This window comes from Homo sapiens, chromosome 20 (genome assembly GCF_000001405.40).
Source record: "Homo sapiens chromosome 20, GRCh38.p14 Primary Assembly".
NCBI classification, from domain to species: Eukaryota; Metazoa; Chordata; class Mammalia; order Primates; family Hominidae; genus Homo; species Homo sapiens.
Genome location: NC_000020.11, coordinates 46,101,820 through 46,115,478, shown reverse-complemented (window position 1 = coordinate 46,115,478; position 13,659 = coordinate 46,101,820). Strand labels below are relative to the sequence as shown.

At 43.8% G+C, this 13,659-nt stretch overlaps 3 annotated features.

Annotated features, from left to right (window-relative positions):
• Positions 6,634-6,683: an enhancer, noted in NCBI's record as "active region_17962". NCBI's record gives its function as "activates an Ori minimal core promoter by ATAC-STARR-seq in GM12878 lymphoblastoid cells {active_cell/tissue: GM12878}" and the evidence as "EXISTENCE:reporter gene assay evidence [ECO:0000049][PMID:35858748]".
• Positions 6,764-7,083: an enhancer, noted in NCBI's record as "active region_17961". NCBI's record gives its function as "activates an Ori minimal core promoter by ATAC-STARR-seq in GM12878 lymphoblastoid cells {active_cell/tissue: GM12878}" and the evidence as "EXISTENCE:reporter gene assay evidence [ECO:0000049][PMID:35858748]".
• Positions 12,703-12,938: a silencer, noted in NCBI's record as "fragment chr20:44731180-44731415 (GRCh37/hg19 assembly coordinates)". NCBI's record gives its function as "represses an EF-1alpha promoter that drives an FKBP-Casp9 reporter gene in an ReSE screen in HepG2 liver carcinoma cells {active_cell/tissue: HepG2}" and the evidence as "EXISTENCE:reporter gene assay evidence [ECO:0000049][PMID:32094911]".

Below are 13,659 nucleotides of genomic sequence, written 5' to 3'. Positions count from 1 at the left end.
GTAATCTCAACACAGACCTCAAGCTGCAGTGGCCTCTTGAGAATGGTGGTCAGATACCAAAAGGCCAGAAACTCTTGAAATCAGGGTCCAGGGAACTTCATTAAAGCCACCCAAACATGCCCAGGATGGAGAGAAGATTAAAATATCTTTTCCCTTTTTAACATACTTTGAAAAAAACAAGCACGGTTTTAAATCCTTTGAGAGAGGGGTGTTACTATAATGATTTCAGCCATTACTTATTCTTTATTTGCTTGATTCCAAAATTGGGCCTTTCACAAAACTGCCTGGGGAAGCAAGTACACAGAATTAAAACATTAATTATATTATATAAAACATATCATAGCAGCAATTAAAGCAGCTTAAATTAATGTGTGAAGGAATAAATGTTAGCCTTCGGGTTGCCCCATGGGGCGAAGACCAGATAAGATAAAGGGAAGATATTTTAGTATATACATATCCTGAGGAGGCATGTGCTGGTGGGCACAGGCCCAGAGAAGGCCTAGAATCTTGTTGAGCTGAGAAGAGTGTGCTGGAGGAGGAAAGCGAGAAGATGATTTAAGGGAAAGTGGCAATATTCGGAGGCCAATCAAAAAGGGAACAATGAAGGGTTCTGCAATAGGAATGGGGCAAAGGACATTCAAAAGAGTAGGGAGCCAGGATTTTGGAAACTCAGAGATGAAATGGCCTTTGTAGGGAGGTGGGTTCACAGTGCCAGGTGAATGGGTGAGGAGCATGCCTAGAGGTCCAGTGTCCACAGCGCTGCCAGAATCTGGCATCCAGAGTGTTCTGTCTAATATGCAAATCCAATTGTGTTGCTCCAAGGTTTAAAGTGGCTCTCCAGGGCCCTCACCCCTTAAGCTTGCAGAGCTGCAAGGCCATGGGCCTCCTGGTGTACATCTCTAAGCATCCTTCCTGCCTTCCCCTTCATGCTCCAGCCCCACTCCCCAGATGTCCCGTGCTGTCACCTCTGCCTGGAGAGCTCCCTTCCCACTGCCACTCTCCTTTCACCTGGCCAACTCTTTCTCACCCTTCAAGGTCCATCTCAGGCAACCCTCCTCTGGAAATCTCTCTCTAACAACCAACCTATCCCCCTGTGCTCTCTCAGAACCTGGGGCAGCTTTACCCAAGCAAGACTCTAGCCCGACCACACTGTATTTCAATTTTTCTGTTTACTTGTGGAGCCAGTGTATTGAGGCGATTCAACTCTGTGGGGTATAATGATGAAGATTTTCTCCCCTAATCTCTGCCTTCAGCCATGCTGTGTTGAATCTCCCTTTTCCATCCCTTAATGACATTTTGGGCAGATTGCATTACTTTTGGATCACTTTCTGTTGTTAAACCTCCATCCTTTAGACCTTTATTCTCAAACTCAATTTAAATCTCATTTTATCTTCTCTCTTACTCATTCAAGAGTTAACTTGAGCCAGGACCCTGCCTGCTAGGAGGAAAAGGACTTGGTGGAGGTGGGGCGGATGGTCTGATTGGGAGACATACCCTACCACCCCCACCCCAACCCCGTGTCCATATATGGTTTCTCATGGGCAAATGAGTAAGTTCCTTAGCGGCTTCTCCACTGCACAATTCTCTCACAGGGTCATCCAGCCCAGGCTTGACCTCGCCTACCCCACCCCACCACCTAGGGCCTACCAGTGTCCTGACCCTCTTGCCCAGCAGTCAACCTGCTTGAGTAGGCCACCAGAAAAGTGCTCCAGCCAGGCTGATTACTGCAACGTCCACTTGACCTAGAGAAGCTCACGCATCCAGTCAGCTACACCACAATGCCCCTCTTCTCACCTCTCCTCTACCCTGCTCAGATAGGCACAGTCCACTGCCCACAGTCCACCACCCATCAGGGAACAGCATCCCAGCACCCCATGCTTGCAGTCACCTCTCAGTCTCCATGAGGGACTTCCTTTGAATTTCCACTACCCCACCCTTAACGGGGAGGGAGGAAATGGCCTTCTCCTATGAACACCTGACTACTCAGTAAAACCAAGGACCTCCTTCCTCCCCAAGATTGCTGTATGGGCAAGGAAGAGGAAATTGGAATTTTGGGCTGTGGGTGTAAAGCGAGTTCTGCCTCCTTTAGTAAACCTGGAGGGAAACTATCTGGCTCCCTAAAATACAGGGTACAGAGGACCTGTTGGCTTTGGCTGTGGGCCAGCCATGTGGCTGATTCCTAAGGAACAAGGAATTTGCACTCAATCGCCTTTGGATCAGGCCATCCCTCACTTCTAACTTGAATTGTGGAGAGGAGGAACAGTGCCTCCTTTATCTTCTTAACCTAACACCCACACAGAGTCTGAACACCTGCCAGATGCTGAACAGGTATTTGTTGAATAAACGCAGAACTATAGAGTAATGAGGCTGAAGGGATCCCTCAGACCCACCTGCCCATTCCCACACCGTCCTGGGTAGCAGCCCATCTCCATAAGATGACAGGGCTCTCTAGCTGGGATTCCCAGGCCTAACTATGGACAAAAAGCTTTCCCTTTAGCTCACCAGTATCACGTGGGAATTTATCAAAGGGAACTAAGAAACTCAGAAAAGAACCCAAGCAGAAATTTGGAAAACCCAAGAGCCGGCAAAACAGATGCGAGAACAAAGCAGAGAATGTCTTGATCCTTATCTGGTTAAAGCCACTTACTCGGCTGATCTGATCCCCGCACAATGAGGCCTGGAGCCTGGTCCTCAGCCCTCCCAGACTCTGATGTTTGGAAGAAGAGATGCTTTGGTTGCAGGGGAAAGGATCCAAGTTTTTACTGTGACCTCAAGAGGCTGCGTGACCTGGCCATTGGCAACCTTGGTTCCCACCGCAGAGCTTTGGCTATGCTGCCCCCTCTGTCTAAAACGCCCCTCCTCCCACCTTTCATCTGCTGACTCTTCCTCACCATTCATGTCTCAGGGTAAGTGGCCCCTCCTCAGAGAGGCCTTCCCTGACCATCTTATCTAAAATGAGTTTCCTCTGCTACCCACCCACCTCCCCCGCCACTGTCCTCTCTTGTAGCACCTGTTCTAATCAGAGTTGTCCTTGCAAACAAGAGAAGATGTAGCAGTGAACTTAAATAAAAGAGGACACTATTGAAAGGGTGTTGGGCAGCCCAGAGAGCCGACAGGAAGGCTCAAGGGAGGCACCCAGGCAAAACCACAGGAGGCAGGGAATAGATGAGACTCTGCCACAGAAAAGTTCTATAAACCATCTCTGTGCCAGCCTACCTCCAAGACAGCCCTCAACAATCCCTACCTCCTGGTCTTCACACCCTTATGTAGTCCCCTTCCTTATTGTACCAGGGTTGGTCTGTGTGACCAACAGAAACCAGCAGAAGTGAGTGTAGGTCACATCAAGGTTAGGTTACAAACCCACTGAGGTCAGGTGCAGTGGCTCATGCCTGTAATTCCAACACTTTGGGAGGTCAAGAAAGGAAGGATCACTTAAAGCAAGGAGTTCTAGACCAGCTGAGCAACACAGCAATAATTCATCTCTACAAAAAAATTAAATAAAAATAAAAGGACTGAGGCTTCCATCTTATGTGTGCACTGTCTCACTCTTCTTTTTCTCTCTTCTCTCTCTTCTTTCTCTCTCCCTTCTCTGTCTCCTCTCTCTCTTCTCTCTCTCTTCTCTTTTCTCTTCTCTCTCTCCTTTCTCTGTCTTCTTTCTCTCTCTTCTCTCTCCTTTCTCTCTCTCCTTTCTCTTCTCTCTTTTCTTTCTCTCTTCTTTCTCTCTCTCCTTTCTCTCTTCTCTCTCTCCTTCTTCTTTCTCTCTCCTTTCTCTCTCTCTTCTCTTTCTCTCTCTTCTTTCTCTCTCCTTCTCTTCTCTCTCTCCTTTCTCTCTCTTCTCTCCTCTCTCTCTCTCTCTCTCCCCTCTCCCCCACCCCCTGCACTGTCTCCAGGCCCTCTGGGGAAGCAGCTGTCTGCCATGTCGTGAGGACACTCAGCACTCAGGCAGCCTATGGAGAAGTCCATATGGCAAGGATTCAAAGCTTCCAGCCCTCAGCCACATAGGAAGTGAAAGTGGAAGTGGAAGTGGAAGTGGACCCTCCCGCAGCAGTCAAGCCTCATATGACTTCAGCCCCAGCTGACACATTGATCCCAGTGGTGATCTAATCAGAACCACCCAGCTAAGTTGCTTCTGGATTCCTAACCCACAGAAACTGTGAGATAATAGATGTTTTCTTGTTTCAAGCCACTAAGTTTCAGGTCAACCTCTTACCCAGCAATAGATAATGAACACAATCTCTAACTACCCCTGAACTTGAGCATCACTCCTTCGAGGTTCAAAGTCTTGGGAAAGGAATCAGAGTGGCCACACTTGGCTTACAACGCACATTCTATGCCTCCTTGGCTTCCTTGTCAAGCCTCCTGCCCTCCTTCCCCTCAAGTAAGAAGGGTACACATCCTGAACATCCAGAACAATCCATCTGCCCTGCAATGTTCCCTCAGAACACTCGGCACAACTTGTTGTTCTCTATGCAGGATGACATTTTTCTCCTTTCCCCTTGCTCTTCCTAATTTTGGGCACACACCAAACGTAAGAACCAGAGAGGGCAGATAGTTTTTGGCCCAATAATGCAGGGAAAACATCCTCAAAGTTCTGATTGCCTTAAAAATGCCAGACCGTGAAGAAAGACCCATTAGAAGGCAACTTCTGCCCAGTGAATTAGCTGGGGAAAAGAAAAAAGCACTTTGAGAATCAGGATCTAGAGATACAATTCTGTATATTTTCATGCAGCCATAGCCCAGTGAGTAATCGAGACTTTCCCACTCAAGATAAATATGAAACAGGCGCTTTATTACAGACCAAAAAAATCCATGGTCCCATCTCATAATGAAATCAGCATTTTGGTTTGTACATTTGCGTGTGCCACCTTTTAATCCTTGCCTATAGGGACCTTCAGATTTTTCTTTCCAAGGGATATCATAAATAGATTATCTATTTTACATTTTCCTATAATATTAGACCACGTATATTATTTCCACCTTTATAAACTCCTATTTTTATTTTTTCTTTTCTTTTCCTATTTTTTTTATTGGAGACAGGGTCTCACTCTGTCACCCAGGCTGCAGTACAGTAGCACTATCATAACTCACTGCAGCCTCAAACCCCTGGACTCAAGTAATCCTCCCGCCTTGGCATGTATTTTTTTTTTCTTTATCTATCTTTACACCTCTCTCCCCATAATAGCCTGATAAATATCTGTCTACACATTTAAGAATATATTTGTTCATTTAATAAGAAAAGGAATCTCTATCTTTTTTTGCAGTCATTTTTGTCACTTAATAATATATCATGGAAATAATTCCAGGTTAGTAGATACAGATCGTACACATTCTTTCTTTAAAATAATTGTGTAAGATTCCATGGTGTGGACTTGTCACAATCAATTTAACCATTTTCCTGTTGATGTACATTCAGGTTGCATCCAGGTTCTCTCTACTGCAAAGCAGGCTGCAACAATGTTTTTACACGTATGGTTAGGCACGTGTGTTTTTATTTCTATACAATAGATTTCTAGAAGGAATTTGTGGGTATTTATATTGTAAATGCTAACAGATATTTTAAAGATACTTTCCAAAAACCTTGGGAAATTCATATGTTTGAAGGGACCTTTACTCTGCCTTCTCCCCAGTACTAAATGTTATCATTCATTTTAATATTTGACCATTTGATGGTGAAGAGAGAGATCTCTTTGCTGCATTTATTTACATTTCCTCAATTATTAGGGAAGTTGAGGATCCTATCAAATGTTTATCAACCATTTGGATATCCTCCTCTGTGAACTAACTGTATATATCCTTTGTCCATTTTCTATTAAATTGTCTGTTTCATATTAACTTTATTCAATCATGTAGTCACTCAACTAATATGCATTGAGCACTTACTAGGTCACGTGAACTAGACAAAATCCCAGCCCTGAATATTAACCCTTTACTCTGTCATCCATGTTGAAAATCAGCTCAGATGTCTAATTGTATCTCCAGTCTCTCCTCTACAGATAGGCTCTGGTACAGCAGTCCCCAACCTTTTTGGCACCAGGGGCCAGTTTTGTGGAAGACAATATTTCCACGGATAGAGGGGTTGGGAAGGATGGTTCCTGGTTTTGGATAAAACGGTTCCACCTCAGATCATCAGACATTAGATTCTCATAAAAAGCACGCAACCTAGATCCCTCACCTGCGCGGTTCACTATAGAGTTCGCAGTCTCATGAAAATCTAATGCCATCGCTGATCTGACAGGAGGCAGAGCTCAGCCTGTAATGCTCGCTAGCCAGCCGCTCACCTCCTGCTGGGCGCCCGGCTCCTAACAGGCCACGGACTGGTACCGGTCCACAGCCGGGGTGTTGGGGATCCCTGCTCTGGTAGATTGTAGTCATTATGCTTTCAGGTTTTATGATGTAAAAATACCTAATAATACCTAGTACTAGCACCGCTAGCCACTAATTGGTTAGAGCAGAAAGAGGACTTAATCCAATCCCCATGTAGCACCTTGTTGGTACTCCACCCTCAGGCCTTCCATATTCACTGTTCCCACTCTTCCTGTCCCCTATCTCAAGCACCTGTGACCTTCTGCCCCAGAGCCTTTTTTGGCCACAAGAGCATGTTTAGCCCTTCAGAGGGCAGGCCAGAAGGGCTGGAGATAATGCAGCCTTCTACCAATGACAGATGAGGAGTTGGTGGATCAATGCCGCAGCTGCCTTTCCCCGCAGCTGGGATAACTAAAAGGTATGTGTTCTACACTGTCTGTCCAGTCAAGGTGAAGCCACAGTTGCCCACTGTGTAACCTGCTCATTCACCCACCCTGTAATGGCTTCCTTCTCCTCTCTGTCTCAGTTCCCCATTACCCCATCAGTGCTCCCCGGAGTCACCTCTCAAAGAAACTACTTGCTACTTGCACTCAAATCTTTGTCTCAGTTTCTGTTTCTGGGAGAATACAGCAAAGGCACTTTGATTTACAAATGAGGAACTAGCAGCAGGAGGCAGCATCGATCGATGAGTAAAAGTGTAATTTCTGAAGTCATAGGCCTGGCCCAAAATCTGATTCTGTTACTGACTGTGTGTCCTTGAGCATATTCTTAACTTCTAGTTTCTTCTCTGTGAAATGAGCCTAAGAGCTCACATGGTTATTATAAGGACTAAGTTAACTATGTGATTTTCTCACATAATGTCTAATAAAAAATGGTATTACTCTTTAATATTAGAAAACTGAGTTCTAGAGAACAGAAGTAGCTAGCCTATGGTCACCCAGGAAACTGGGACCCTTATGCCCCATTTCAAAGACTCTATTCTCTGTCATCCTTTGGGCCAGGGATGTTACAGTCATGGGATTTCCCTTGTCCTAGGCTTTAAATACTCCTAAACATCTAGGTGGATTGGAGTGTTGATTTGTGCTGTCCAATAGAACTTTCTGTGATGATGTAAACATTGTATATTTATGCCATTCAATATGGTAGCTACCACTAGCTACATGTGCTTGTTGAACATCTGGAATGTGGCTAGTACCACCAAGAAAGTGGGGGTTTTATTGTATTGACTTTTATCAAATGTAAAAAGCCACATATAGCTGGTAGCTACTATGTTAGATAGCTCAGGTCTAGAGAAAAGGGGTTGGGGCCAGGTGCAGTGGCTCACACCTGTAATCCCAGCACTTTGGGAAGCCAAGGAGGAAGGATCACTTGAGCCTAGGAGTTTGAGACCAGTAAGGACAGCATAGTGAGATCCCATCTCTGTAAAAAAAAAATTTTTTTTTTAAGTAAAAAATTAGAGAAAGGGGGTTGGGAAATGGTGGAAAGAATCTCTCTTAGGTCTTTTCTTCTCCCCAGTCTCTCTTACCTCCAGTCTCCCCTCCCAGCCTGAGCTATTCATCCCCCTCATCATAGGTCTCCACCTTTCCCTCCTTTGTACGTGTTAAGTTCCATGGAAGGAAGCAGCAGGGACTGTGACAACTGTTGTATTTTCATACACCCAGCAAGGTGAAACAAACTCCTTTGTGATCCCTGTATTGAAAGACAAGACGAATACCTGCTATAAATAAAGCTGAATAAAGATTCTTTTCTAGATGGCTTCCATTGTTCCCTCTTCTCTTACAGTATTCACGCTGAGATAATTTCCAGCTTCTCAGATCCTCCGTAGTTATAAAACATACCATTACCTCATTTTCATTTCATTAGATTTACAGATCACGAGACTACTTTGATCCTTACCAAGTTCATCATTAATGGTTTCAAAATAATGATTCTTTCCGTTTCAGCATGAGCCAACACAGAATTTCCTACCCATGTATTCTTTTATCTCTTGCTTCCTACTTTTAACTCCCTAGTCTAGACAATAGTGGCTAATGGAGTTTTCCAAATGCTGACGTGAATTTCACATCCATAAAGACATTCCCCGCACAGTTCTGTCACCCCACAGCAAAAACAGTAAAAGTAATAATTTCTTTCCAAACTACTTGATCCTGATGGATGCCATAGAAAGGTATCTGATAAACCACCAGCTCTCCCAGGCTATATTTCCATGGTACCTGTAATTAACCCTGCCAGGTACAGTGGAACATGTGGGCTTAGTAGTCTCACAGAAATGGGTTTAAATCCTGACTATATCACTTAACAGTGAGAAATAAAATGACTCTATCTTTTTGAGTCTCAGTTTCCTCATCTGTAAAATGAAAGTATGAGGTACTTACTTTGCAAGGTAGTGGCAAAGACTCAAAGGATTTTTTTTTTGAGATGGAATCTCGCTCTGTTGCCCAGGCTGGAGTGTAGTGGCATGATCTCAGCTGACTGCAACCTCCGCCTCCAGGGTTCAAGCAATTCTCCCGCCTCAGCCTCCTGAGCAGCTGGAATTACAGGCGCGCACCACAATGCCTGGCTAATTTTTGTATTTTTAGTAGAGAAGGGGTTTCACCATGTTGGTCAGGATGATCTCGAACTTCTGACCTCGTGATCCACCCAGACTCCCAAAGTGTTGGGATTACAGCCGTGAGCCACTGCGCCTAACCAACTCAAATGATTTATACGACTTTGCCATTAACATACTACTCTGTGACCTTGGGTAATATCCCTACTCTTCTGAGCCTCAATTTTCTCGTCTATAAAATGGGAATAAATAATAATACCTACTTCTAAGGGTGTTGGGAGGATTAAATGAAGATATATATAAAGTCCTCAGCACTATGGCTGACTCAAAGAAAGCACTCACCTCTTAATATGCCCTTAAAAGAGCTTTTCACCCAAGTTGTTGGCTACTTTCTTTAAAACAGGATTCTTAAGTTTTCTTTGTGTTGTAGATTTCTCTGGCCATCTGGAGAATCCTACAGACTCTTCTCAGAAAAATCTTTGTAAATGTAAAATATGAGAGAGTTATAAAGAAGACCAGTTATATTGAAATATAGTTATCAAAATATTAAGACAAGTATGTGATATAGTATATATATGCCTCTTTAATACTGGATTAAATAACAAGCTCTAGTGGCAAGCCTAAAACCTCCATAATTTCAGAGTAATGATGTGTGCAAACAATAATTCAAGACATCTGCAGCAGCAACTCTAGTGTGATATCAAATAGAAATATCTGTGCCTTCTATTGGTGACAATGTAGCAGGCCCTGCTAACACTACTGTAGTTTATTGCCTACATTCATGATCAAAAGAAATGCTTAATTTAAGTTAGAGGTCAATGAAAATAAAGGAGTAAATTTTTTCCATCCAAGTTCATGAACCCCAGGTTAAGGTTCATAATATATTTAGCACCCGTTTATCCTCAGCTGTGGGTCTAAAGTCATAGATTAGGAGACAATAGGAAACATCTCCTCACGTCCCATTATCTGGCCTCTGATTGAGCAAATGGTAGAAAAGAGAAATGCACCATCCTATAAGAGCATGCAACAAGATGACAAACTACTACCAGCCAAGCTTATTTAGCATTAAGTGGCAGGCGTTTTTCTCAGTGTTTGACCTATGTTAACTCACCAACATTCACAGCAATCCTTTGAGACAGGTACTGTTACCATCCTTGTTCTACAAAGGAAAAAACTGAGGCACGGAGAGGTTAGGTACGTCCCCAAGGTCACACAGCCAGTAAATGGTAGAGCCAGGATTTAGAGCCAAGAAGTCTGAATCCATAGTCTGTGCTCCTAGCTACCATGCCATACTCCCTCTCTACTCTGAGTGCAGGGGAGTAAGATTTCAATTACATTTCTCTCTTCTTATTAAGGCACCAGCATTGAATTAGCGCCCCCCCCCCATGCAGTATGACCCCATATTAACTATATCTGCAAAGACTCATTCTTCAGGAGGAGTAGGAGTTAAAGAGGTGAAAGGGAGGAGGGAGCGGGGAGAGGTAGGAAAGGGGCTGGGGAAGTATTTTAAGCAGAGGAAATGGGAGGTACAAAGGCCTTGAGGTGGAAAGAACATGGTGGATGTAGGACCTGAAAGAATACCAATGGGGTTGCAGATTGGAAAGCAAGGGGCACAGTGGGATAAGATAAGTCTGGAAGGCAGAAAGTATACAGATCTCGCAGGGCCTTGAAGGCAGCTTTATTATTATTCTGAGAACAATGGGGAGTGCAATTAAATTTGTTTTATAAAAATATCACTCTAGCTGCAGAAGAGAAAGAATTGAAGGGAAAGAAAAGTGGAATTGGGGGCCCTGGTTTGGAGGCAGTCAAAGGGGTCCGAGCTAGGGATGATGATGGCTTGGACTAGTGGTGGGCAGGGGTACATAGAGAAGTGGATAGATTCGAGAAAGATTTGAGAGAAAGGCTCTGGTGCACTGGATGTGGGGGCAACAGATGACTCCACTGTGGCAGACCGCATTTCCCAGTGATGGCCACAACCATATCTCAGAGTGGGACTTTGATATTCTTCCCATTGAGAGATGGGGTTCTACGCTCCCTTCCCTTGAATCTGGCCAGGCTTATGTGACTCTTGAAACTGTCATAGAAGGCAATACAGCTCCTGCCTGGTTCTCTTAGCCACTCCCTCAGAGCCCTGAGCTTCATGTGAGCAGCACAACTGCTCTGAGGTCGCCATGAAGTGAGGAAGCCCTCTCTCCACAGCCTGTGCAGAGACCACGTGGATAGGCCCTAAGACTATGTGAAGAAAAATTGCCTAACCAAGCCCCTCTGGAAACCCTGATTTCCAGAAACTATGAATAAGGATAAAATAGTTACTTAACACCACTAAGTTTTGAATTTGGAAAACTTATTCTTCAAATTCTGTCTCTACTGACTTGGCCAGTTATCTACTTCTAACCCTCATAAGGGAGATTTAACATTCTCAGTTTGGGTTATTTGTGAGGGACCCTGAAAGTTGGTGACATGTGGAAAATGGCTTTTAGGTAGTTTATCTCTGCAGTTTTAATTTGTAAACCAGCCCAGTGGTTTGCAAACCTGAGAGAGCTTTTTTTTAAAAAAAAATAAATAAATATTCTCAAGTTCTACCCTGGACTCAATGAATAAAAATCTTCAGGAAACAGTGAGCCACCAACTCAGCTGAGCTGCCTGACTCTGACATTTTACTTTACCTTTCTGTATGATTATTAGAGTTACATTCTATTTATATACCCCAACACTTGTAGGCAAATTGGAAAATGGATCCTTTGAATTTCAAGTGAAGGAGGGCATTAATCAGATTAATCTGGTCATTTGAGTAGCACAAACAAGATTCGCTTACCTACATCAAAGATAATTCTCTTTAAATATTTTCACAAGCATACTTCACATGGCTTCTGGAAACAGAATATCTAAATATTTCCATCTAGAGTAACATAATTGAAACAGTACAGAATGCCTCAAAAAGAGACAGCTATAGAAACAATTGATATCCCTGAACTTGATCCTCCTGTAGAAAATAATGTATGCGGTAAATAAGAAACACAAAAATGGTTAAGCAGTATTATTTGAGGAGAGAGAGAATCTAATTACACTTACCTATGGCTTCATGCATCAAAACTGATTCTGGGTTCAGTGGTTCACACCTGTAATCCTAACACTTTGGGAGGCCAAGCCAGGCAGATTGCTTGAGCTCAGGAGTTCAAGACCAGCCTGGGCATGGTGAAACTCCATCTTTACTAAAAGAGAAAAAAAAATTAGCCAGGTGTGGTGGTGTGCGCCTGTAGTCCCAGCTACTTGGGAGGCTGAGGCAGGAGAATTGCTTGAACCCGGGAGGCAGAGGTTGCAGTGAGCCGATATCTTGCCACTGCACTCCAGCCTGGGCAACAGAGTGAGACTGTCTCAAGAAAAAACAAAACAAAACCAAAAAAATCACCAAAAAAAACTGATTTTATTTGGATTAAAGATTTAATTATTAAAAGGGAGAAAGAATCTAATTACACCTACTCATGACGTCATGCATCAAAAACTGATTTTAATTGGATTAAAGGTTTAATTATTAAAAGGGAAAAAAGTAAGCCATGGTAAAATTAGAAAAAGAAAACATGCATTTATTTAGTCTTCTGGAGAGAAGACAGTCCAAAGTCAAAAATGGGTCAGAAGGACTGGGGGGTCTGGGGGAGAATCTGTTTTCTTGCCTTTTCCAGCTTCTAGAAGCCACCTGCTTTCCTTGGCTTATGGCCCCATCTTCTGTCTTCAAAGCCAGCAGTGTAGCATCTTTCTCTCCTCTGGCCCATGCCTCCTTCCTTCCCGCCCTCTTGTGCTTCTATCATCACATCTTCTCTGATTCTGAGCCTCCTATTTCCCTCTTATAAGAACTCTCGTGATTACATTGAGTGTTCCTAAGTAATCTAGGACTGTCTCCCCATCTCAAGATCAATGACATCTGCAAAGTTCTTGTTGCCGTTTAAGGTGACATATTCACGGGTTCCGGAGATCAGGGCGTGGACCTCTTCAGGGAGTCATTATTCTGACTAGCACAGTTGTACAGAGCTATGCTGACATGGTAGGTGTCACTGAGGCTGGGCTTCAAGCCAGGTAACCCTGCCAAAGAAGCTCTCTACTGGCCGGGAGAGACTTTAGGGTAGTCTTTCAACAACTCTCTGAGCCACCTCTATCAACATACAACAGAGCTTGTCAAGTGTGTGCAGTTCCATTCTGATTCACTGTGTTTTACAGAATCTCGCTTTGAGAAGCTATTAGTTCTGTTGGGGCTCACCAGAAACTTGATATGGTCCCAACAAAGTCCCCTCTACCCCCACTCCAATGTCCTAGTGGACCAGAATTCAATGATCACTCAATGATCAGTGAAGTTTATTCCCTCTGTCAACAGAGTAGCCCATGAAAACCCAAGGGCCTCTGCTTTCTAGGAATAGTCTAACAAATAGAACAAGCAAATCTATAAGAAGACACAAAGTGTGATGTCATCAAGTGAACCTAGAGAAGGTGAGATCTATGAGCTAATGAGCCCACACGATGAGCCAGGCATGATTCTAAGAGTGATACGTGCTACCTCATTTAACTTAACTTACTTCATCCTGACCTCCTGACTATTCTTACACGGCTTTGACAGATGAAGGAAGTGAGGTGCAGGGAGGTTAAAGCCAAAGTTTGCCCAGCTAGGAAGTGGTGGAGAAAGAAGTGAACACGGACGATGCAGATTCCACAGCTTGTGTTCTGACCCACCAAGACTTCATAAATGGTAAATTCCCTCAATATACTTGGGCCAAGGAAGCTGGAGAGTGGGATATCTGTTTGCATGGCACACTAGATAT